The 22,918-nt window shown below is 41.6% G+C and overlaps 1 protein-coding gene and 1 non-coding gene across 18 annotated transcripts in view; one reads left to right on the top strand and one right to left on the bottom strand.

Annotated features, from left to right (window-relative positions):
• The window catches only part of REPS2 (RALBP1 associated Eps domain containing 2), a 249,998-nt gene that overhangs the window by 135,474 nt on the left and 91,606 nt on the right, over positions 1-22,918 (bottom strand). For all 17 annotated transcript variants that reach the window (XM_017029956.3, XM_011545603.3, XM_011545606.3 and 14 more), the window contains 3 exons: positions 13,700-13,835; positions 8,737-8,800; positions 6,232-6,374 (listed from right to left, as the gene is read on the bottom strand). In XM_017029956.3, the coding sequence (XP_016885445.1) occupies positions 6,232-6,374; positions 8,737-8,800; positions 13,700-13,835 (343 nt within the window). The remainder of the gene's footprint in view (positions 1-6,231; positions 6,375-8,736; positions 8,801-13,699; positions 13,836-22,918) is intronic.
• Positions 16,671-16,802, top strand: LOC124905266 (small nucleolar RNA SNORA16B/SNORA16A family). The gene has a single exon (XR_007068422.1). It is a non-coding gene; the product is annotated as a small nucleolar RNA SNORA16B/SNORA16A family (small nucleolar RNA).

Here is a 22,918-nt window from a genome sequence, read left to right as displayed (position 1 = left end):
TTAATTTGTTCATTTGCTTACTCTGGTCTGAATTTCACCGATTTCTCTTTCTAGTCTATCAATCAAGGCTCTGACTGGTATTATATGACTGATGCTTTATCATGAGCGGATCTTCCTGTGAAGAAAGCTAACACTTTCCAAAACTATAATTTTGTCAATTACCTGCTAAATCTCTCTCCAAGGTGTCCACATCTCTCCATATCACTGTCACCTCCCCATTGCAAGCACCCCGCTGCTCCTGACTGGCCAGCTACCACAACTTAGTCTTCTGGTTTCTACCCGTGCCCCTCAAAACCTGTTCTCTGGACAGTAACCTGCATGATCATTTCACATAGCAAATCTGATTGTGTCACTTATCTGCCTAAAATAAGGTGACATTATTGCCCGTCATATGTTCCCCACCTTCTTCCTCAGCTTCAACCCAGCCTCTCTACCCCGGTTCTGTGCACGCCAGCCACTGTGGCCTGAAATTCCCACTCCTCCTATGCTCCAAGCCCCCTCTCAGAGCCTCCCCAGCATACCTGCTGTTCCCCCTTCCCAGAACCTAAGCTTCTCTCTTCTTCACCTATGTAGTCCTTAGCTCAGCCTTCACATCTCAGCCCAAACGTTTAAGGAAATCTTCCCTAAGATCATGCACCCTCTTGCTGCACCTGTACTTCCCCTTCATGGCACGTATCAACTGCCCACAAGTTCATGGGAGTAGGAGCTCTGTCATACAGCATTCTGACCACAGTGAACAATGTGGTACCTCTCACGCAGTAAGTACTCCATAGGTATTTTTTAACAAACTCTATGGCAAAAATTTCTACCAGAACCCACCCAATCACCTATCAAAAGGTGACTTTTTTTATTTTTTTATTTTTATTTTATTTTATTTTTGAAATGGAATCTCACTCTGTCACCCAGGCTGGAGTGCAGTGACGCAATCTCGGCTCACTGCAACCTCTGCCTCCCAGGTTCAAGCAATTCTCCTGCCTCAGCCACCCGAGTAGCTGGGGACCACAGGTGCACGCCACCGCACCTGGCTAATTTTTGTATTTTTTGGTGGAGACAGGGTTTCACCATGCTGCCCAGGCTGGTCTCAAAATCCTGACCTCAATTGATCCTCCTGCCTCAGCTTCCCAGAGTGCTGGGATTACAGGCGTGAGCCACCCCACCCAGCTGAAACTATCAAAAGGAGACTTTTGATGAAACTATCAAAAGGAGACTCTTGATGAAACTATCAAAAGGAGACTCTTGATGAAACTATCAAAAGGAGACTTTTGATGAAACTATCAAAAGGCTAGCGGGTAAGCCACCAACTAATACAACTCTGTCCTTGAAGTTTTACTATTAGGGAAAAGGGACTATTTCCATAATTGCAAGTAAAATGGCATCAGATACAATTCCTGTTCCATTATTTTAGAAAACAGGCCAGGTGTGGTGGGTGGTTCATGCCTGTAATCCCAGCACTTTGGGAGGCCGAGGTGGGTGGATCACTTGAGGCCAGAAATTCAGGACCAGCCTGGTCAACATGGTGAAACCCCGTCTCTACTAAAATACAAAAATCTGTCAGGCATGGTAGCAGGCACCTGTAGTTCCAGCTACTCGAGAGGCTGAGGCAGGAGAATTGCTTGAACCCGGGAGGCAGAGATTGCAGTGAGCCAAGATCATGCCACTGCACTCAAGTCTGGGTGACAGAGCGAGACTCCATCTCAAAAAAAAAATTATTATTTTAGAAAACAAGCTTGTCTAGTTATGAATGCATGAAGATATCAACCAAATTTATACTCTTCACCAATCTTATCAAAAACTGGATTAGATTTTTTAAAGACTGAATATAGATCAATTAGAAAAAAGTTGGAAAAAGGTAAGAGTTAAGCTTTAAAAAAAAAAAAAAAAACACTAGGCCGGGCGTGTTGTCCAGCACTTTCGGAGGCCGAGGCGGGTGGATCATGAGGTCAGGAGATCAAGACCATCTTGGCTAACATGGTGAAGCCCCATCTCTACTAAAAATACAAAAAATTAGCCGGGCATGGTGGCATGTGCCTGTAGTCCCAGCTACTTTGGAAGCTGAGGCAGGAGAATGGCATGAACCCAGGAGGTGGAGCTTGCAGTGAGCCGAGATTGCACCACTGCACTCCAGCCTGGGCAACAGAGCAAGACTCCGTCTCAAAAAAAAAAAAAAAGAAAGAAAGAAAGAAAAAAGAAAAACACTAAATGAGATGCCATTAAAATGAACAAAAAAATGAATAGGATCACTCATATTTTGCAAAGAAAAGCAAAAAAAGCACAGAGGAGACCTAGGTGGTTCTGGCCATTTTCTTAAGCTTCATACAATGATAAACATAGGTGATAAAGCATTTTAAAATATACCGTCACTGAGTTTGATAGAGTTTTATGGGTTCTTTCATGTTTTCTGTTAGAACTATATAATTATTATTTAAGATTAATCCCACAAGCCCTAGAAATGATGTGCAATTTTTGTTTAATTGAAGTGTATATGATGGATTCTTCCCTTGTTCCTGTATAAATGCATGCTGACAGTCTCCATAAAAGTCCAGGAAGAAACATGGGGCTCATTGGCACTCTTTTTTATAGATTCCCCTCTACTGAATAAGCAGGTCAAAAGAAGCCATTGGCAGTAGGAAAGGAATCAAGAGATTACTTCTTTCCTGTTAACATACTTTTAGCTCAGGGCTTTCAGATGTCTAAAAATTATGTCAGTGACTTTTTTTTTTTTTTTTTTTGAGAAGGAGTCTAGCTCTGTCACCCAGGCTGGAGTGCAGTGGCACAATCTTGGCTCACTGCAACCTCTGCCTCCCAGGTTCAAGTGATTCTCCTGCCTTGGCCTCCCTAGTAGCTAGGACTACAGGTGTGCGCCACCACATCTGTTTAATTTTTGTATTTTTAGTGCATGGGGTTTCACCATGTTGGCCAGGCTGGTCTCAAACTCCTGACCTCCAGTGATCCACCTGCCTTGGACTCCCAAAGTGCTGAGATTACAGGTGTGAGCCACCACACCCAGCCGTTATGTCAGTGACTTTTGAAATAGTCTGTGAAACACTTGGACACCTACAAAAGTGACTTATCAAATAAGGAGTCATGGCATGTCCCACAGGTTCCATGGCCATATGGCATCAAAACAATAAAACAGTACTAGTCATGACCCCCAAACAGAAAACTCAGTGTGGGTATGGGAGATGAGGTTACCCAGGACTCTCTCCAGGGCTTGAAAGAGGACACGGCGAAGGTATTAAATATAACCCTAGAACAGAACTTGGCCCTTTGCCAGCTATTAATTCCCTTTAGAGAGAGACAAAAGCCCCATGTGTCTCCAATCCCAAGAAAAGGGGCTCCTCTATGACCCCGCACTGCCTTGGCAATGAGAGCCATGTAGGCGTCAAGATAGCCCCCAGAATGCCAGTGCTTCTTTGCCCTGATTCAGAAGAAACAGAAAGAAAAGAAAAGAAAAGAAAAAGACAAGACAAGACAAGACGAGGGAGAGAATGAAATGGAGACAGAAAGACACCAAAGAGAAAAGAGGAGTTTCCCATGCTCCTCAATTGCAAGCTAATTCCTGGGACCCATGAGAGTCTTCCAAGCATCTAAGGAAGGGCAGCAGGCTAGAGTTACAGCCTGCAATAGGCAGAAAGCAGGTATTGTTAGCAAAATCCAAGTCCAGAAATTAGTAGGTTTTGCTCTCTGAACTCTCCCCTTCACATATTTTATGAGGACATTTGAAGAAGATCCCAGAATGGGTCACTCTTCCCCCAACATGTTTACCTGTCACTTAGCAGCAGCCACAAACTTGGCCTCTGCCCTTTGGTTGAGTTCCTCTCCTCTCACTATTTAACACAGAAAATGACAGACTTTTTATTTAAGAGAGTCAGAGGCCCCGAGACAAACTTAGATAAGACATTTGCCACTTTGAATCTGGTGTCATCATGAGGAAGGGGCTAGACAAGATAATCTAAGGCCTTTTGCAGATCTAATCACAAAATTCATACTCTACTAATAAGTAATTAAAGTTTCTTTAGACACTGCTCTCTCTTGCTAATAATCACCCATGACTAAGCTCTCATTTCTTTAACAGCCCTTCCCTAAAAAGTGAGAAAGGTTGTTGAAAGCACCAGCTGTTTCTGGGGCCTCTCAATGAGCACTATACTTCCATGAATAATGGAAATCAGACCAGTGCCCATTTGCCTTTGAAAAGGGCAAGACACACTATTAATTTTTCTACTCTCCCAAAGGAATTAATACATATGTTATACTCACCATGACTCTTTCCCATCTAAAGGGTCCAAAACAATAATTTGAGCGAGACTGTTTTATTAAGGAGAAATATAACAGTTCTATTCTAACCTTCTGATATGCTAGAATATTCTATATCTTCATCTGATTGTAGTTACATGGGTGTATACATATACAAAAATTCATCAAGCATACATTTAAGGTGACAACACTTTGCACATTTCACTGCATGTAATTTTTTGACTTTTTTTTTTTAGACAGAGTCTCACTCTTTCTCCCAGGCTGGAGTGCAGTGGCGCGATCTCGGCTCACTGCAAGCTCCGCCTCCCGGGTTCATGCCATTCTCCTGCCTCAGCCTCCAAAGTAGCTGGGACTACAGGCACCCGCCACCACACCCGGCTAATTTTTTTCTTTGTATTTTTTAGTAGAGATGGGGTTTCACCGTGTTAGCCAGGATGGTCTCGATCTCCTGACCTCATGATCCGCCCGCCTCGGCCTCCCAAAGTGCTGGGATTACAGGCATGAGCCACTGCGCCCGGCTAATTTTTTGACTTTTAAATTAGGTATAAGAGTTCCATTCCACTCCATTGCCCAGGGCCACCCGGAGACACTCGGGTGTGCCTAAAAATGCCAAGTTAACACTTGGCTCTACAGGATCTTCCTCTTCATTTTATACCAGCTGGGAGGTTCAGTACTTGCCTATTTCACAACTGTCATGAAAGGGTAAGTGACTTTGGTTCAAATCCATCCAGAGGGTATAGAATGAGAAAAACAGGTAATACACACTTACCCAGATCAGCCCTATTCCTCACATTATGAGATGTGAAAGTCTAATAGCAGTTAAAGAACAATAACTGTAAATACCAAGGACTCCCCAAAGTATCTGGACATCATTTTAAGAAACAAAAGTTTTTTTGTTTTTTTTTTTTGTTTGTTTGTTTTTTTATTTTTTATTTTTTTATTATACTCTAAGTTTTAGGGTACATGTGCACATTGTGCAGGTTAGTTACATATGTATACATGTGCCATGCTGGTGCGCTGCACCCACTAACGTGTCATCTAGCATTAGGTATATCTCCCAATGCTATCCCTCCCCCCTCCCCCGACCCCACCACAGTCCCCAGAGTGTGATATTCCCCTTCCTGTGTCCAAGTGATCTCATTGTTCAATTCCCACCTATGAGTGAGAATATGCGGTGTTTGGTTTTTTGTTCTTGCGATAGTTTACTGAGAATGATGGTTTCCAATTTCATCCATGTCCCTACAAAGGACATGAACTCATCATTTTTTATGGCTGCATAGTTTGACAAACCTGAGAAAAACAAGCAATGGGGAAAGGATTCCCTATTTAATAAATGGTGCTGGGAAAACTGGCTAGCCATATGTAGAAAGCTGAAACTGGATCCCTTCCTTACACCTTATACAAAAATCAATTCAAGATGGATTAAAGATTTAAACGTTAGACCTAAAACCATAAAAACCCTAGAAGAAAACCTAGGCATTACCATTCAGGACATAGGCGTGGGCAAGGACTTCATGTCCAAAACACCAAAAGCAATGGCAACAAAAGCCAAAATTGACAAATGGGATCTAATTAAACTAAAGAGCTTCTGCACAGCAAAAGAAACTACCATCAGAGTGAACAGGCAACCTACAACATGGGAGAAAATTTTCGCAACCTACTCATCTGACAAAGGGCTAATATCCAGAATCTACAATGAACTCAAACAAATTTACAAGAAAAAAACAAACAACCCCATCAAAAAGTGGGCGAAGGACATGAACAGACACTTCTCAAAAGAAGACATTTATGCAGCCAAAAAACACATGAAGAAATGCTCATCATCACTGGCCATCAGAGAAATGCAAATCAAAACCACTATGAGATATCATCTCACACCAGTTAGAATGGCAATCATTAAAAAGTCAGGAAACAAAAGTTTTTTACACAGCCTGGAGGAAAAGTACTTAAGGTTTACAGTTGATGGTGAGGCCTTACCTGCCTGCAGGTATTCTGGCTGCAGAGTTGGAGGGAGGCCCTCAGGCAATGGGTAGCCGTTCTTCCGAGCCACAATGAGATGAAACGCAGCACAGAACTCAGGCAGGGTCAGGGCTCCATCACAGTCAGCATCACTAAGCTCCCTAAATGAAACAAATGTCATGAGTACCTACCATGGGGCTTACAGAACAAGTTACTTGGCCCAAACGTGCCAATAAAACTCCCAGACTCTGTGGTGATGGCCCTACCAGATACCCAAACCCTCCTAGCCAAATCCATTTGAAATCTCTGGGGGCCACTCCGAGGAAGAAAAATGCCGATTGATGGGATCAGCATCAGTAGCATTTTATAAATAAAAATTTAAATTCTTCAGGTTCCCTAGTTGGTGTGTCTTACAACACTGAGGACATAGGACAAGAAACTATGGCACAGAAATAAAAATGATACCCAGAAGTCCACAGTCATTCAGTAAATGCAGGCTGCATGGGGTGAAAAGCCCTGGACATGGTGTTCAAAACAGTCAGAGGAAGGGTGGCCCCAGCCATTTTATAGTTGTCCTAGCCATTATGCAGTTTACCTGGAGCACAGAAATAAGCTCTTTGTTTTTCAGCTTTAAAGGAAAACCGTGAACTTTTCAAGTCACGTAAATTTTTGTACCAAACTGTTCTTTGCTTGAGAACTCCCTCCTGGGAAAACACAAGTAAGCTCAATAAAAAATGGAATGAATTATGTTTTAGGATAAAACTAGTAACTAAAGCTGACTGGAACCAGATAAGACAAAAAGGAAGAAAGGGGGAGTCTCAAACAGGCTTAACTTCAGTCATTATTTCCCACTAAAAGGCACAGACCTATTTACTCAGCACAAAAGAAACTTATTTGCCAAAGTATTATATCTAAGACCCCATAAGCTTAACCATCTCTTAGGTAGACAGGGACAAGTGTACTTGTGTTAGGACAAGCATAGAGATAAGACAAATACAAAATTATTCTAGAAAGGTATTACTATTTGAAAGAAAATATATTTCTAAGGTAAGCTCCATAACTTTCCTTTAGACCATTTACATCCTCCTCCTCCAATTTCGAATGCACTGGGGCCCTGAAATAGCTGTTCCCCAGAGTGAGGGGTCAGGAAACTGCTTCATACGCCAGATCGAAAGAATACCATTCAGCTTTCATAGGCGTGTCTCAACAAAAAGATAGGAGGTCTCATGCCAACAATGTTTAGACTGGGAATTCTGCCAAAACAAATGGTATTCTTTTCAAAATGATAATTTCTTTATTCTTCCCTAGCCAGAAAATCTAATATAAGGGCCGGGCATGGTGGCTCATGCCTGTAATCCCAGAGTTTTCAGAAACCAAGGCAGGAGGATTGCCTGAGGCAAGGAGTTCAAGACCAGACTGGTCAACATAGCAAGACCCTGTCTCTAGAAAAAAATGAAAAGCTAGCTGGGAGGCTGAGGTAGGAGGATCGCTTGAGCTTAGGAGTCAGAGGCTGCAATGAGCTATAATCATGTCACTGCACTCCAGCCTGGGTGACAGAGTGAGCCCTCATCTCCAAAAAAACAAACAAACAAACAAAAAACAAAACAAAAACAAAACTAATATAAGGCTTGTAAAAACAAAAAAATTATGCCAGAGTATATATTGTTGAAGAACCTAAATCCAGCTCAGAATCCCAGATACATTGACATGCATGAGTATTATTGGAGTAGTTTTCCAATAAGATGCACAAAACATGACAAGCAATTTTAAATCCTATCATAATTCTGTAAATCCTCATGCAAAAAGCTTTATATAAACATTATAATGTTTTTAATTATATATTTATAGCAGTGCGATCTCCTGCCCAGTTTTGGGGAAGAACTAGCCCACACACAGCCGAGAGTTTACAGCAGCACCAAGCATTTTCATGAATGCAAATAGAGCCATCTGGACCATCCCAGCATAGCCCTTTTGGAACCAGAGTGCATAAAGGTGCAGTGGATACCACAGCTGCAAGTCTGAATTAGGGCCCAACTGATAAACACCAGCCAAATTTGCAAAGCTCAGAGGCAGCTAGAATAGTCAAATCTAACCTAACTCCAAAATATTCCTCAACCTTCTGTTCACTCAGCCTTATAAAATATAAAAAATAGTTTGTCAAGCTCCTCTGGTTACTTGTATCACACCTAGCAGAAAAGTCTGAAAATGAAATCTACAGGATGGTAAGTCTCATGTGCCCACAACTGCCTAGACTGAAAAGGGATTGAGATGGGGATAATAATTAGGAAATTACTTTAAAATAATAGTTAACACTCATAGTGCTTAATACGTGCCAGACATTGTTCATTGTACTTTTCATATAACATTTAATTTTCACAGCAACAAAAATCTGAGTTGTATTCACTCCTGTAGTCTGTTAAAAACATCATTCAAAACATAAGCCTTTAAAAAATGCAAAGGTAGGAACTAAAGGATGAGTTATGGATGATGGTATGAATGTCATATGGCATTAATTGTACTTACCATATATAGGAGAGTTCTGGAATGGAAAGCTTTGATTTGGTGAAGAAGTTCTTGGCCACAGAACCTGTCAAGTGCCATTGTTTAAATAAACCATTAATTACTCAGCTAGAGTAGCTTTTACATTTATATACAAATGAATCACAATTTTTTCATTCAGCAATCTCTTCTGTATAACCACAAACATATTTATTCCTCAAAGCAATTATGAATCATGGGACCAAAAGCAACACATGAATAGCTTTTTTAAAAATATGTAAATTACAATAGGGCAAAAGAAGCAATAACATAATGCTCATGAAAGATGCAAATCACATAAATTAATTTCTGCTTCATTTTTACCAAAATCTGCAAAATTTTTCCAAAAATTTAGAAGACGAAGTTCAAAACTTTGAACAAATTTGGCAGATTTCAAATAGAAATTTCAAATAGAAAAGTAATAGAAAACTGACCAAAAAGAAGAAAATTAATACCATTGATCACACCACACAGAGATAAGACAGACATCTTGGGAAAGCTTTTGGTGAGATTTAAGAATTCCTAGTGGCATTTTGAGAAACTTATCCAGGAATCTTTCTTCCTTCATTGTTGATTTACCTGTATCAACTGAAATCAGGCAATCATTCCACTTTACATGTTACATAACTGCAAGACCCAGCTGTTCTTGAAATGTTAGACCTTACTGAGATTGAATTTGAATGCTTTCAGCTCCCAGTACAGTTTGATCTAGCAATTCCACTCCTAGGTATGTATTCAAAAGAAATAAAAATATATGTTCACATAAAAACTGGTACACAAATATTCAAATCAGCATTATTCTTAATACTCCAAAAGTGGAAGAACACCATATGCCTATCAACTGATGAATGGATAAATAAAATGGGATGTACTGATATAATGGAATTATTCAGCCATAAAAAGGAATGAAATTCTGGTACATACAACATGAATGAGCCTTTAAAACATTATGCTAACTGTTGGTGGGAATTAGTACAACCACTATGGAGAACAGTTTGGAAGTTCCTCAGAAAACTACAATTAGAGCTACCATATGACCCAGCAATCCCACTACTGGGTATATACCTAAAAGAAAGGAAATCAGTGTATCAAAGAAATATGTGCACTCCTATGTTTGCTGCAGCACTGTTTACAATAGCTGAGATTTGGAGGCAACCTATGTGTCCATTGACAGATGAATAAAGAAAATGTGGTATGTATACACAGTGGGGTACTATTCAGCCATTAAAAAAAAATAATGAGATCCAATCATTTGCAACAACATGGATGGAACTGGAGATCATTATGTTAAGTGAAATAAGCCAGTCACAGAAAGACAAACATCGCATGTTCTCATTTGTGGGATCTAAAAATCAAAATGATTGAACTCATGGACACAGAGAGTAGAAGGAAGGTTACCAGAGGCTGTGAGGGGTAGTGGCAGGGAGAGAGTAGGGGCGAGGCGGGGATTGCTAATGGGTACAAAAAACTAGTTAGAAAGAATGACTAAGACCTACTACTTGATAGCACAATAGGGTGACTATAGTCAATAACTTAATTGTATATTTTAAATAACTTAAAGAATGTAACTGGATTGTTTGTAACTCAAAGGATAAATGCTTGAGGGGATGGATACCCCATTTACCATGATGTGATTATTATGTATTGCATGTCTGCATCAAAACATGTCACATACCCCATAAATATATACACCTATGTACCCACACAAATGTTTTAATTAAAAAAAAAACTAAAACATTATGCTAAATGAAAGAGACACAAAAGACCACATATTATGAGATTCCATTTCTAGAAAAAGGGATACGTTCTGAGAAATGCATCATGAGGTGATTTCCTCATTGTGCGAACAGCACAGGGTGTACTTACACAAACCTAGATGGTATAGCCTACTATACACCTAGGCTAGATGGTAGAACCTATTGCTCCTAGGCTACAAACCTGTACGGCATGTTCCTGTACTGAATACTATAGGCAGTTGGGACACAATAGTAACTATTTGTGTATCTAAACACAACTAAATATAGAAAACAGCCTGGGCAACATAGTGAGACCTCCTCTCTACAAAAAAATTAGCCAGGCAAGGCATAGTGATGTGCACCTGCAGTCCCAGCTACTAGGGAGGCTGAGGTGGGAGGATCACTTGAGCCCAGGAGGTCAAGGCTGCAGTGAGCCGAGATCACATCACTGCACTCCAGCCTAGGCACAGAGTAAGACCCTGTCAAAAAAAAAAAAAAAAGAAAGAAAGAAAGAAAGAAAGAAAGAAAGAAAGAAAGAAAGAAAGAAAGAAAGGAAGAAAGGAAGAAAGAAAGAAGAAACATAGAAAAGGCAGAGTAAAAATATGGTATAAAAGATGAAAAATGGTTCACCTTTGTAGGTCCCTTACCATGAATGGAGCTTGCAGGACTGGAAGTTGCTCTAGGTAAGTCAGAGAGTGAGTGGTGAGTGACTGTGAAGGCCTAGGACATTACTGTACACTACTGTAGACTTTATAAATACTGCACACTCAGGCTACACTAAATTTACCAAAAAAAAAAATCCTTTCATCAATAATAAATTAACCTTAGAGTGTAAGTTTTTACTTCATAAACTTTAAAATTTATTTTAACCTTCTTGACTCCATTGTAATAACACTTGGCTTAAAACAAAAACACACTGTACAATTTTAAAATAACTTAAGAGTGTAGTCAAATTGTTTTCAACTTAATAGATAAATGCTTGAGGAAATGGATACCCCATTCTTCATGATGTGCTTATTTCATATTGTGTGCCTGTATCAAAACATCTCATGTACCCCATAAATATATACACCTATGTACCCACAAAAATTTAAAAATTTAAAAAAATTGCACAGCTGTACAAAAATATTTTCTTTCTTTATATCTTTATTCTATTATTCTATTTTTAAAATTTTTAATTTTTTTACCATTTAAACTTTTTGGTTAAATACTGAAACACAAACACGTATAAACTTTTTGGTTAAAAACTGAAACACAAACACTTATCAGCCTAGACCTTCACAAGGTCAGGACCATCAATAACACTGTCTTCCACCTCTATACTGTGGAGGTGACTAGAAGAGGACAATAACCTGCAGGTAGCTGCCGCCTCCTAGGATAACAATGCCTTCTTCTGGAATACCTCCTGAAGTTCCTGCCTGAGGCTGTTTTACAGTTAACTTTTTTTTATATATAAGTAAGAGTATACTCTAAAATAACAATAAAAGTATAGCATAATAAAAGGCCAGGTGCGGTGGCTCATGCCTGCAATCCCAGCACTTTGGGAGGCTGAGGTGGGTGGATCACGAGGTCAGGGGTTTGAGAGCAGCCTGGCCAACATGGTGAAACCCCGTCTCTACTAAAAATACAAAAATTAGCCTGGTGTGGGGCATGCACCTGTAGTCCCAGCTACTCGGGAGGCTGAGGCAGAAGAATCATTTGAACCCGGGAGGCGGAGGCTGCAGTGAGCCAAGATCGTGCCATTGCACTCCAGCCTGGGCGACAGAGCAAGACTCCATCTCAAAAAAGAAAAGAAAGAAAAAAAGTATAGCATAATAAATACATAATAAGCTAATAATAGCCATTTATTATTAAGTATTATATACTGTACATAATCATATGTGCTAGGCTTTTATACGACTGGTAGCACAGATTTGTTTTTACCAGCATCATCACATTTATGTGAGCACTGCCTTGTGCTACAACATCATGATGGCTACAGCATCACTAGGTGATTAATGGAGCTGGAATTTTTCAGCTCCGTGATACTGTTATGGTACCGCCATCATTGACTGACTGAAACAACCTTATGTGTTAACTGTAGGTAAGAGAAAATCATTGGGGCTATGTGATAGGTACACAGAGGTTTGTTGTATCAGCCAGACTAGTTGTGTCTATATCTGAAATTCTGCAAGATACAAAAGTTAAAAGAAAACAAAAACATTTCTAACAAGTACCTGTTTGTATTTGGCTAAATATCTGCACATGTCGTAAAGAAACTCACCTGAGCACGGGGTAAGGTTAGCAAGTGGTCAAATCGTGCAATATGGGTTTCTGCTTATTTTCCTTAATCATGACGTCAACATTAATTTGTTGTATCTGTACTATTCTGCCGTCAATAAAGCCATTACCACCAATCAGTAAATGATGTTTGCAATTACTTATACAAGTATATTTCAATTATGTGCCTCATTTCACAAGATAAAACTAATCTTTGCCCACACTTCAATATGGCAGGTTACAATTATTAAGGACATATTGTTATTCTTCAAATTTTAAAGTCTAAAAAGAAAGCTTTATGAATTTTTCTTCTAGACTCTACTATTTCACTGTTAGTCTTTCAGCCTGGTAAAATGTAGCCACACTGGCATTAAACCAGTTCCTCTGAGCTTGAATTTTACATGAGAACTCAACAGGAATCTATATATCTGAAGACAACCCAGAAGAACTGACAAGTGGGAAAGCACTGGCCAATTTTCCTCCCCCATTTTAATTTCTCTCAGAAAAACTGGAGGACAAACATTTGAGCCAAAGAAAACGAGCCTGAGTTTGAAGTTTGAAGGCACATATAACATAAAAAGACTTGTGACACCAACTCCTTAGGAGGCCACATTCTGTCCTTGCCCGAGCTCTAATATAACGAGGAAGCAATGAGAGGTGGCCCCTTGGGGCGACACGCTAGCATTTCAAGAACTGCCTCAGCTGATAAGGTGCAGGGTCTGGGCCAAGTTGCCCCCAAATTCCCACTTAAGCCCTTTGAAATGGAAATATAATTTTCCAAACGTCATTGGCAACTTTTCTTCTGCATGGTTTACATCTGATAAGAAATTCGACTTTAGATGAAAAACAAACTGAAATCACAGAAGGCTGCCATACTCATTTTGCGTGAATGATTTCTCAAGATGGTGGCTATGTTCTGGTGAGAGTGATGCCTAGGGAGCCCACATTCTTACCTGAAATGAAAGAGCTTGGGTCTGGCTGAAGGGATCGGAACTGATTGACATAGTACTCGCGCTGTTCTTCTGTTATCCTCCAGGGTTCGTCGGGGTAACTGCTGTTATCCTGTAGTTCCCTCTCCACTGAAAAGGACTGTAAGAATAAATTAAAAAGTAAATGCTCAGAGAACCTGTCTTTAGTGAGAAGTAGAAAAATTAAACACCAATAAAAGTTATCATGTGTTATGCTTAATTTTTTTCCTCAGGTGAAGAAATTTAACTGCCTCATAACTAGAATCTAACTAGAACAGAAACTTAGGGGCAGACATCATGCTTTATGTATTTTTTGTATTCTTCAAAGTTAACAGGACTGAGGCATGAAATACTGAATACTCAGTAAGTGACAAAAAAATTTCTAATTGTAATAAAGGGTTTAAAAAAAGATGATCATTCTTATTTTCCACTATTCCTCACATTTTCATTCTTTCAGATTAGCTGAGTGGATAGTAAAATAATCTGGATTCTTTTTAAATGACAAAAAAGAAACTAGAACAACTATAACCACATCTTTTTTACTGTTGCCGTTACACTGAAATGCTGTATAAATCCAGGAATCAAAAGCTCCAATTCAAATCCCACATTTCCAGCTCCTACTTGAGTGGCAAGTCAGGACCACTGAACCTCTCATTTGGCATTTGTGAATTACAGACAATATTTAGTAACAGAGCTGGGTGGTGAGAACAGCTGTTATGGTACCACAATAAACAGGGTAACAAGGGGTGCATCAGACCTGCCACTAGAGGGCATGCAAGTCAAATTTGAGGATTTAAGAGCCTAGAAAACCAGGGAAGCAGTGCGGGAGAAAACAAAGCTATGGTAGGCATTGGCAGACGAAGGGAAATGTCGATGCTAGGGGGAGGCGTGGGCCTTTGTTCTATCCCTCCCATGAACCCTAAGACTAAAGAGGTACTTGCCAAGGGCCACCTTAACAGGACCAAGAGGTGAACACCAGAAGGATGAGGCTTGGCCGGGTGCAGTGGCTCACGCAAGTAATCCCAGCACTTTGGGAGGCCGAGGCAGGTGGATCACGAGGTCAGGAGTTCAAGACCAGCCTGGCCGACATGATGAAACCCCATCTCTACTAAAAATACAAAAATTAGCTAGGCATGGTGGTGCGTGCCTGTAATCCCAGCTACTCGGGAGGCTAAGGCAAGAGAATCACTTGAACCTGGGAGGCAGAGGTTGAACCTGGGAGGCAGAAGTTGAACCTGGGAGCAGAGGTCGCACCACTGCACTCCAGCCTGGGCAACAGAGTGAGACTCTGTCTCAAAAAAAAAAAAATAAATAAAAATAAATAAAAAAGATGAGGCTTTATGACAAAAGGAGGCTAGGAAAGAAGAGGAGGGTATTGCTGCTAAAGAGCCATCAAGGTGCCTGCTTCTGAACACACTGTCAAGGAGGGAATTAATCATTGGGCGGGCAATTCCACCCACTAACCCTAGAAAAGAAGGCCGGCCATCTCCTCCCATTCCCCACACCCACACACACACACCATTCCAGGAATTAATTCTTCCCAGGAACGCCTGTCTCCCCTCTGACAATGTTCAGAGAAAGGAGACTAGAAAATGTTGAGCTACTGTAAAACCTTGAGATGTCATCTCTGAAGTAAAATATGTATTACTTTGATATCTCACACCTTGGGTTAAGGGTGCTTTCGGAAGGCCAGGACAATGAGATGAAATACTAACTGTAGAATGGATACTTCCAGAAGTGCTGAGTGAGAATGCACCCAGCAAACAGGCTATTCCTCAAAGTCATCTGGGTCCTTTAGTCAGAAGGAAGGTTACATAAAGAGGTTGAGAGCTGTAGGGTTGTTAATCATTTGTAATAAATGTATCATTTTCATACTAGATGAGTTTCTACTAAACGTAAATCAAACCACTCTTAAATGTTCAAGAAGTCATTATCCATTAGTTAATACCTTAAATTTCACAGAGTGTTTTGATATGTACAAAGCATTTCACACACTCCTACTTGTTTGAGCACCTCAAGACTTTGGAGATGTAAGCGGGTATTAATTATTATCCTTTTTCCGAGCTAAGGGAACTTACCCATATCCCTTAGTGAACCCCTGCAGGCAGCAAATAATGACCATCTTTTTTTAATCTCTTATTCAAAGGCAGGATTTTGTATACCGGGATTTTTTTTAACTGGGTTGCATCTATCTGAATTTTTTTCAAAAACCTCTTATTATTATAAAAATAAACAGGCCCAGAGCAGTGGTTCACACGTGTAATCCCAGAACTTTGGGAGGCTGAGGTGGGTGGATCACCTGAGGTCAGGAGTTCAAGACCAACCTAGCCAACATGGTGAAACCCCGTCTCTACTAAAAAAATACAAAAAATTAGCCAGGTGTGGTGGCAGGCGCCTGTAATCCCAGCTACTCGGGAGGCTGAGGCAGGAGAATCACTTGAACCTGGGAGGTGGACGTTGCAGCGAGCCGAGATCGCGCCATTGCACTCCAGCCTGGGCAACAAGAGCGAAACTCCGTCTCAGTAAAAATAAGTAAAGCAAAAAAAATCAAAATCCAGTCCGAGCACTAAACAACCAAACAGACCACACAACCTTCCAAAATACTCCCACCAAATTCCAGAGCCATGCCCTAGCAGCACTTCCTGAATGAGCCCAGATGTCTGACCAGGTTCCATTGGTAGAACATAGGGTGGAGAATGTCAGCTTGAATTGGATTAGATTACCGGCCATGATATAATGTGGAGAACTCACAGGAGCACTGCCCTCCAGGTCAGCCCTGACAGAAAGAGCTGGAGCAAAGGAACCTAAAAGCCAGGCATGGGCAGGAAAGACAAGAACAGACACCTATGAGCCAACGATTTGGTGGCAAAGATGATTCGTGAAGAAGGTGGGATGTGGGTCGGAAGCTCTGTCCCTCCACTTCCCAGTGAACGAAGACACAGAAATATCCATGCTGGGCGGCCCTTATCACAGCTGCAGCTGCTTCCACATAGCTGCTGCGGTCAAAAAGGAGCCCAGAGTCAGTTTCCTTGACCATCACCATTCTGTTTGCTATAAGTGATCTGTAACATTTTGCGAAAATACAGTTCCATTGAAAAAAAAGAAAAAGAGAAGAAATCTCCAAGCTGGATGTTGGGTCTGCTGCATTCCTGAGTCTGACATGGAAGCTGCTGCTCCCCTAGAACACGCCCTTTCCCTCCTGCTCATGAAGCTGCTGCTTAGCTGTCCCTGTCAGCCCATGTGTGCTCTTTCCTCAATGCCATAACCATCTGCTTTCTAGCTCCTCTTGACATCACCTCACTCCAGCGTGGCATTAGTGGCCTCTTAGCAGGCAGGTCTCAGGTCTACTCTAACAACAGAAATCAGGAATGAACAGAAGGGGGTGATTAACTCCTCTGCTTAAAAGCCTGCAGAGATGACCTGCTGCCTAACAGAAAAGTCCACCTCCTCCACCTGGCCTTCAGAAGCCTCGCACCCCAGCCTCCTCTCAGCAGGCTTTCCGACTGCACATGCTCACTCCTCAGGGGTAAGATGTTTGTCTTCTTCCCAGAACACTCTTCCCCTGCTCAAATCCTCCAATGTACCTGCCGTACCCACGGCCATGACAGACGGCACTGCTCGTTCCCATGCTCTGCTGCAAAGGTGGGCCTGGCAGCCTTGTGTGGGCACCATGACCCACCTCACACCTGGCGTCACCTGAGTGGGAGTAAGGGTTCATGGGCACACAGTATACTGGCCTTTGAGATGCTCTGACAAGGGCTTAGGTCAGATGCTCATTCTTGGGAATGTGGATGAGAAATATCAAGGCCAATGAGAAGAGAAAGTAGACCCTAAACAGATGCTCAGTGGGGCTGTAGTATAGAGAAAGGGTAGGTGGGACTTAAAGTTATGAGGGCGCCAGAACCAAGCATCAGCACAAGCTGGGAGGTAGGTACAGAAAGGACACAAAGCCGGGGGGGGGGGCAAGAAAGGCTGCAGAAGCCTAAAGATAAGTGGACAGTGGAGCAAACTTAACACAACCAGGGCAAGGCCTGTTAACAGTAGAACAAGCATGAACAGCCAAGAACTCCCACCCCTACAGACCAGTGGGCCATTCCTTGGCTCTCATTTCTTAGATTCCCATGAGAACCCAACCCCTCTTCCAAGAAAACTTAAGTGGGCAAGGAGAGTTCCTACTCCTAAACCTAGAAAGGCCTTAGGACAAAGGGAGAGGGCACATGAGTTCTGTGTAACCCATAGAGTGGCCCTTCTACTGGTTTGCACTAAGTGTGCTAACCTACCCCCCCATCTCTTTCCCCTTGCTTCTCGCTGTATGCTTGAAATTGATTTACTAAGCCAAGTGATTTGAGCGTCTTAAAAAATATGAATCTTGGCTGGGCATGTTGGCTCATACCCATAATCTCAGCACTTTGGGAGGCCAAGGCAGGCAGACCACTTGACTCTAGGAGTTTGAGACCAGCCTGGGCAACATGGCAAATCCCCATCTCTACAAAAAATATTTAAAAACTGCCAAGCATGGTGGCATGCACTTGTAGTTCCAGCTACTCAGGAGGCTGAGGTGCGAGAGTCACCTGAGCGCAGGAGGTCAAGGCTGCAGTGAGCCATGATCGTACCACTGAACCCCAGCCTGGGTGATAGAGCAAGACCCTGTCTCAAAAAAATATATATGAATCTTTATGATAGTCATGGTAAGTACCACAGTTTGAACATTTAAAGTGTTCCTAAACATCTTCACCCAGGTTTCAATGTGAAGGACAGGAGCCATATCAGATACTTTATCCCACCTATAGTCCCTGGCAGGTACATCACAGATACTAAAAGGTAGTGTGAGCTCTACTTATTGGCAAGCTTGAGGAAGTTCAGAGGTATGTCTTGTATTGCAAGAGATGTGGAAACACTGCCCTATGATGTTCTTTGTGAAAGGAAGCCTATGAGTCTGTTTGGTAGCTCAGCACCACTCTGTCAGCAGCTAGAGGCCATGTCACCGCAGGACCCAGATGCGTGGACCCATGTCTTCTGAACCAGTCCAACAATCAACCACAACAATCTTCTCAAAGATCTGAAAAGTCAGTCACCTGAGAATGGCTCATTTTGAAGCCTGAAGGCACTGAGAAATGAGGGCAAATAAGCTGTGGAGCCTTAGCTTTCCAAGTAGAAGCCAGGACCAGGAAAAGCTCCACTTTTGCATGCACCCTAAAGAGGCCTCCCCCCATCAACTCCAGCTCCAGTGGTTTTGTTGGCTGAGCAGAGATGTTTGCTACTTGGTGCCAATTTTGAGCTCTGCCAGTGTTTTGTTTTTTAAATAAAAGGAGAGAGGGAGAAATCTTTCACATCTGTCTGCTTAAGCCACATACATATGGTTCATTATACAGTTTCTCTAGACACAGGAGAATTAGATTTGCTTATATTTAAAACATTCAACCCCTTGGTTTTGTTTCAAGTGAAATGCAAATATTTGGCATGGCAAGTTATTATCTCTGGGGAAAGCAGGCTGTTTATAATGAAAGACTTCAAAAGACTCATTAAAAAGTAATACTATTAATAAAATCCCAAAAGGTAACATTTACCCCTACTATCAAACTATCTTAAAAATCAAACAAAGCTAAATAATATGAATTGCAAGGAAGCATTGTTGGAGAGAACTTAAGAAGGGTGTGTGTATTGTTTCAATCATAGAACATTTCTGTTTAAAATATAAACCTACCCCGAAGGCATCCTATAAATGCTGTTTTAGAGTCCAGCCATTTCACCTATGAGGGGTAATGATCTTTTAACAGTGTCCTGTTAGTGCCTTAGTAAACAAACTATTTGGAGTAGCAAAAGCTCATACTAAGCCCACAGTGAATATCTGAGGATGCCTCCTCCGCCAAAAATATTTTGGAAATAAGACTACCACAAGGCAATTGCTGATCAAAACGATCTCATTAGCAAAGATGTGAGAAGACTTGACTACTGTAAAGAAAAGGATAGCTAATGGGCTGGTGAGACTACACTATAGCCCAAGTGAATATCAATTTGTCTAAAGAAAGATCAAGGAAATTGGTCAGTCATGGGGCTGAGAAAAAAAAGTCACAGAAGCAAGTGGTGGCAGTGCTGATAGGTGGGATTACAGCAGACTCCTCCAATAATTCATGCTCTACTATGCCTGGTGTAGAGGTGTCACTAAGTGGCTGCCCAACCAGAAATGACATTTTCCAGCCTCCCTTGAAGTTACATGCAGCCATGTGACTGAGTTGTAGCCATTGCAATGTGAGCACCAGTGGCCTACCCTACTTCCAAGCAGGACTAGTACCCTGTAGCACTCCTCTACTCTCTTTCCTATGTGCCCACTGAACAGACGATGGCACAGTGACAGGACAGAAGGAGCTCTGGTGCATGAATCACCATGCTGAGGACAGCGGCCTGCCAAACTATTATATTAGTGAGAAATATACCTACTGTGCAAAGTCATTAAAATGTGGGGCCTATTTGTTATAGCAGCTGTTCCCTCAATGAATGTATCCTTCAAGCAAGACCCAAAGGAAAGGAAGATCTGCCCTTCACAACCACAAAGCCCATCCTGGAGATGGAAGCCTGAAGCTATTGTGGTTTTGCAATCTGACCAATGACATTAGACCATTATGAGCCCAAACAACTTTCTCATTCTAATTTGATTATCTATGCAGACAATCTATAGGACCAGGATGCTGATTCATTTTTATAGTAGTCTTTCTGTGTTTGAGTAATATAGGTTCATCTTCCATGGATTTGAAGGAGATTCCCAGTTAAAAAGAAAAGACAGCTCAAGTAAAATTGTGGGGAAAGTGTTCAATGAGAAATGAAGAAAAGGACCTAGAAAAGGAGACAGAGCTTAGCAATTTTGTTTTAACATGAAACGATTCCAAATTATGCTTGATCAATCTTGTTTATGCTCTGCCTCTCACCCTACCCCATGCTATCCCATAAAACCCAGGAGGACAGAAAATTTTGTCTATCCTGATCACTGCTATATCCCAAATGCCTGGAAAAGTCACTAACACATACAAAACACTCAATAAGTTATTTGCTGAATGAGTAAACAAACAAACATTCGAAAAAATTCTCAATCCCAGTCTAGAGACAGAGAAAGGTTAACCTGAGTTCTCTTAAGCTGACTGAAGCTGAACTTTATATGCATTTATCACATAATGTCATCCAACACTATAAAGGCTGAGCCCTCTCCCTTACCTCTGAAGTCAGAGAACTTTTTAAAAAACTCCTTCTTTCTAGTCTTTATTTCAAAATAATTATAGATTCACAGGAAGTTGCAATAAATAATTTGGTTTTTCTGTAGAGAAGTTAGTTAAAATTAAGTCCCAACAGAGAAATTTAACCTTATCTGTTTCTTCAGGGAAATAAACCCACAAAGATGCCTTTAACCACATATTACCTAACTTACTTAGGGATCTAATTTCAATAGTTCAGAAGGCTGACTGCCAAACTGTAGGAATCTCTCTGAGCCTAATGTGCAACACACAGTTGCTGCTTATTACAATAAGCTATACTTTTTGAAACGATCACTTAGACACAGAAGAATGTCAGGTAACAAGCATTCATTGCTTTGCTAAGTGCCAGGCACTGTAAGTACCTAATGCACACAATCAATTTTCATCTTCACAACCCTGCGAGGTAAATCCGGTAATTCCCATTTTGCAGAACAGGAAACTGAGGATTAGGTAAGGGAAGTAATTTACCAAGACCACACACCTATGGCACATGGTAGAGCCAGAATACAAACTGGGTCCAAAGTACGTACACTTGATCATCAAGCTCTATAGTTATCTCTATCTGTTCATCCATCCTGTAAAAATAGAGCATTTATTACAAAAAGAACCTCACTGCAATGCCTAAATCATTGCTGCAATTTTGCAGATTGAGGATCTGTGCTTGAGCTATGACTATGCTGTATTACACCTTCCTCCCCATCATCTAGTTTAGTTTTAGATTTTGGCTGGCGAACTATTAAATCATACTGACAGAGCACCATTTTATTTCTCACATAATTTTTGCAGGTAAGCATCTGGCACGTCATCACAAAAGAATCCTAGAGCTAGCCATACAATCCAGGTATGTAATCATTTTACTGTGATTGCAGTATGTGGCGCTAACAGTATTTTGATTAACATAAGAAATGCTCATTAGTAACCACTGCCTCCAATTCTCCCCTCAGGGGCCAAGATTTGCTGTTCCAGAAGGGCACTTTTCCTTCACTATTATCAGGATTTTGTGCTCTGCTTAGAGGAGAAAGCCAAGAAAAATGAGAAATCAGCAGTAAGAGGAGACTCTGACAAGGCTGCAGACTTCCATTAACGAAGCGATGACGTTCCCACCCCTGTCCTTGCTGGTCAGGCCAAGGCTGCCTGTCTCTTCACTACGTTCTCCCCTTCACACTCAAGGCAGTCTGAGTTCAGATGGGAAACAGATGCATCCACAACTTGGACAGAATTCAAGAATGCTTTGGAGAATGAGGCTACTGACTGGAGGTGCAAAAAGAGTACAGGTTCCAGAGGCAGACAGACTTGGGTTCCAATTTGGCATGGTCACTTACTAACCAGTAAATTAACTTCTGAGCCATCAGCTCCCACCTGCAAGGCAGTCACATAGCCCACAGGGCCCTGCCTCCCTCTCCGACCTCATCTCCCTCCCACTCCAGGCTCTAGCCACAGCTGCCTTCTTTCAGTTCTTCAAATGTATCTGCTCTCCCTGTGAAATATGGTAGAGACTGGGTCACGAGTCCATTCCACCCGTCAGCATAAGTCCCAGCACTGCACAAGCTGGCTAGCTAAAAACTCCACTGTCAAAACACCTTTGCTGCTAGAATTCCAAATAGGACTTAGGTTCCACTCAACAAATACACCCACGGAAGACGGATGCAGACCCAAGTTACAGGCAGGGAACAAAGCTTTCATTTGGCTGCCAAGGTAGTTTGTAGTGTGGATCTGGTTGGAGCTGACACTAGGGCAGCAGTTTCCCAATGCTGTAGCTTTCTGATTGTGACAGAAGCAAAGCTCTCTCAGCAGCCCAGCTCTGCTGTGCGGTTTTGGAGAGGCTCTTACCTCTACAGGAAACACTCCACTCCTCTCCTCACCTCCCAGGACCATCCTTCCTTAGCCTGGTTAACTTCTATTCATCCTTCACAGCTCAGCTCAACACATACTTTGTTAAAGGAGCCTTCTCTCACTTTCT

Source organism: Homo sapiens, chromosome X, assembly GCF_000001405.40.
Source record: "Homo sapiens chromosome X, GRCh38.p14 Primary Assembly".
NCBI lineage: Eukaryota > Metazoa > Chordata > Mammalia > Primates > Hominidae > Homo > Homo sapiens.
This window is presented reverse-complemented; position numbering and strand designations above follow the sequence as displayed.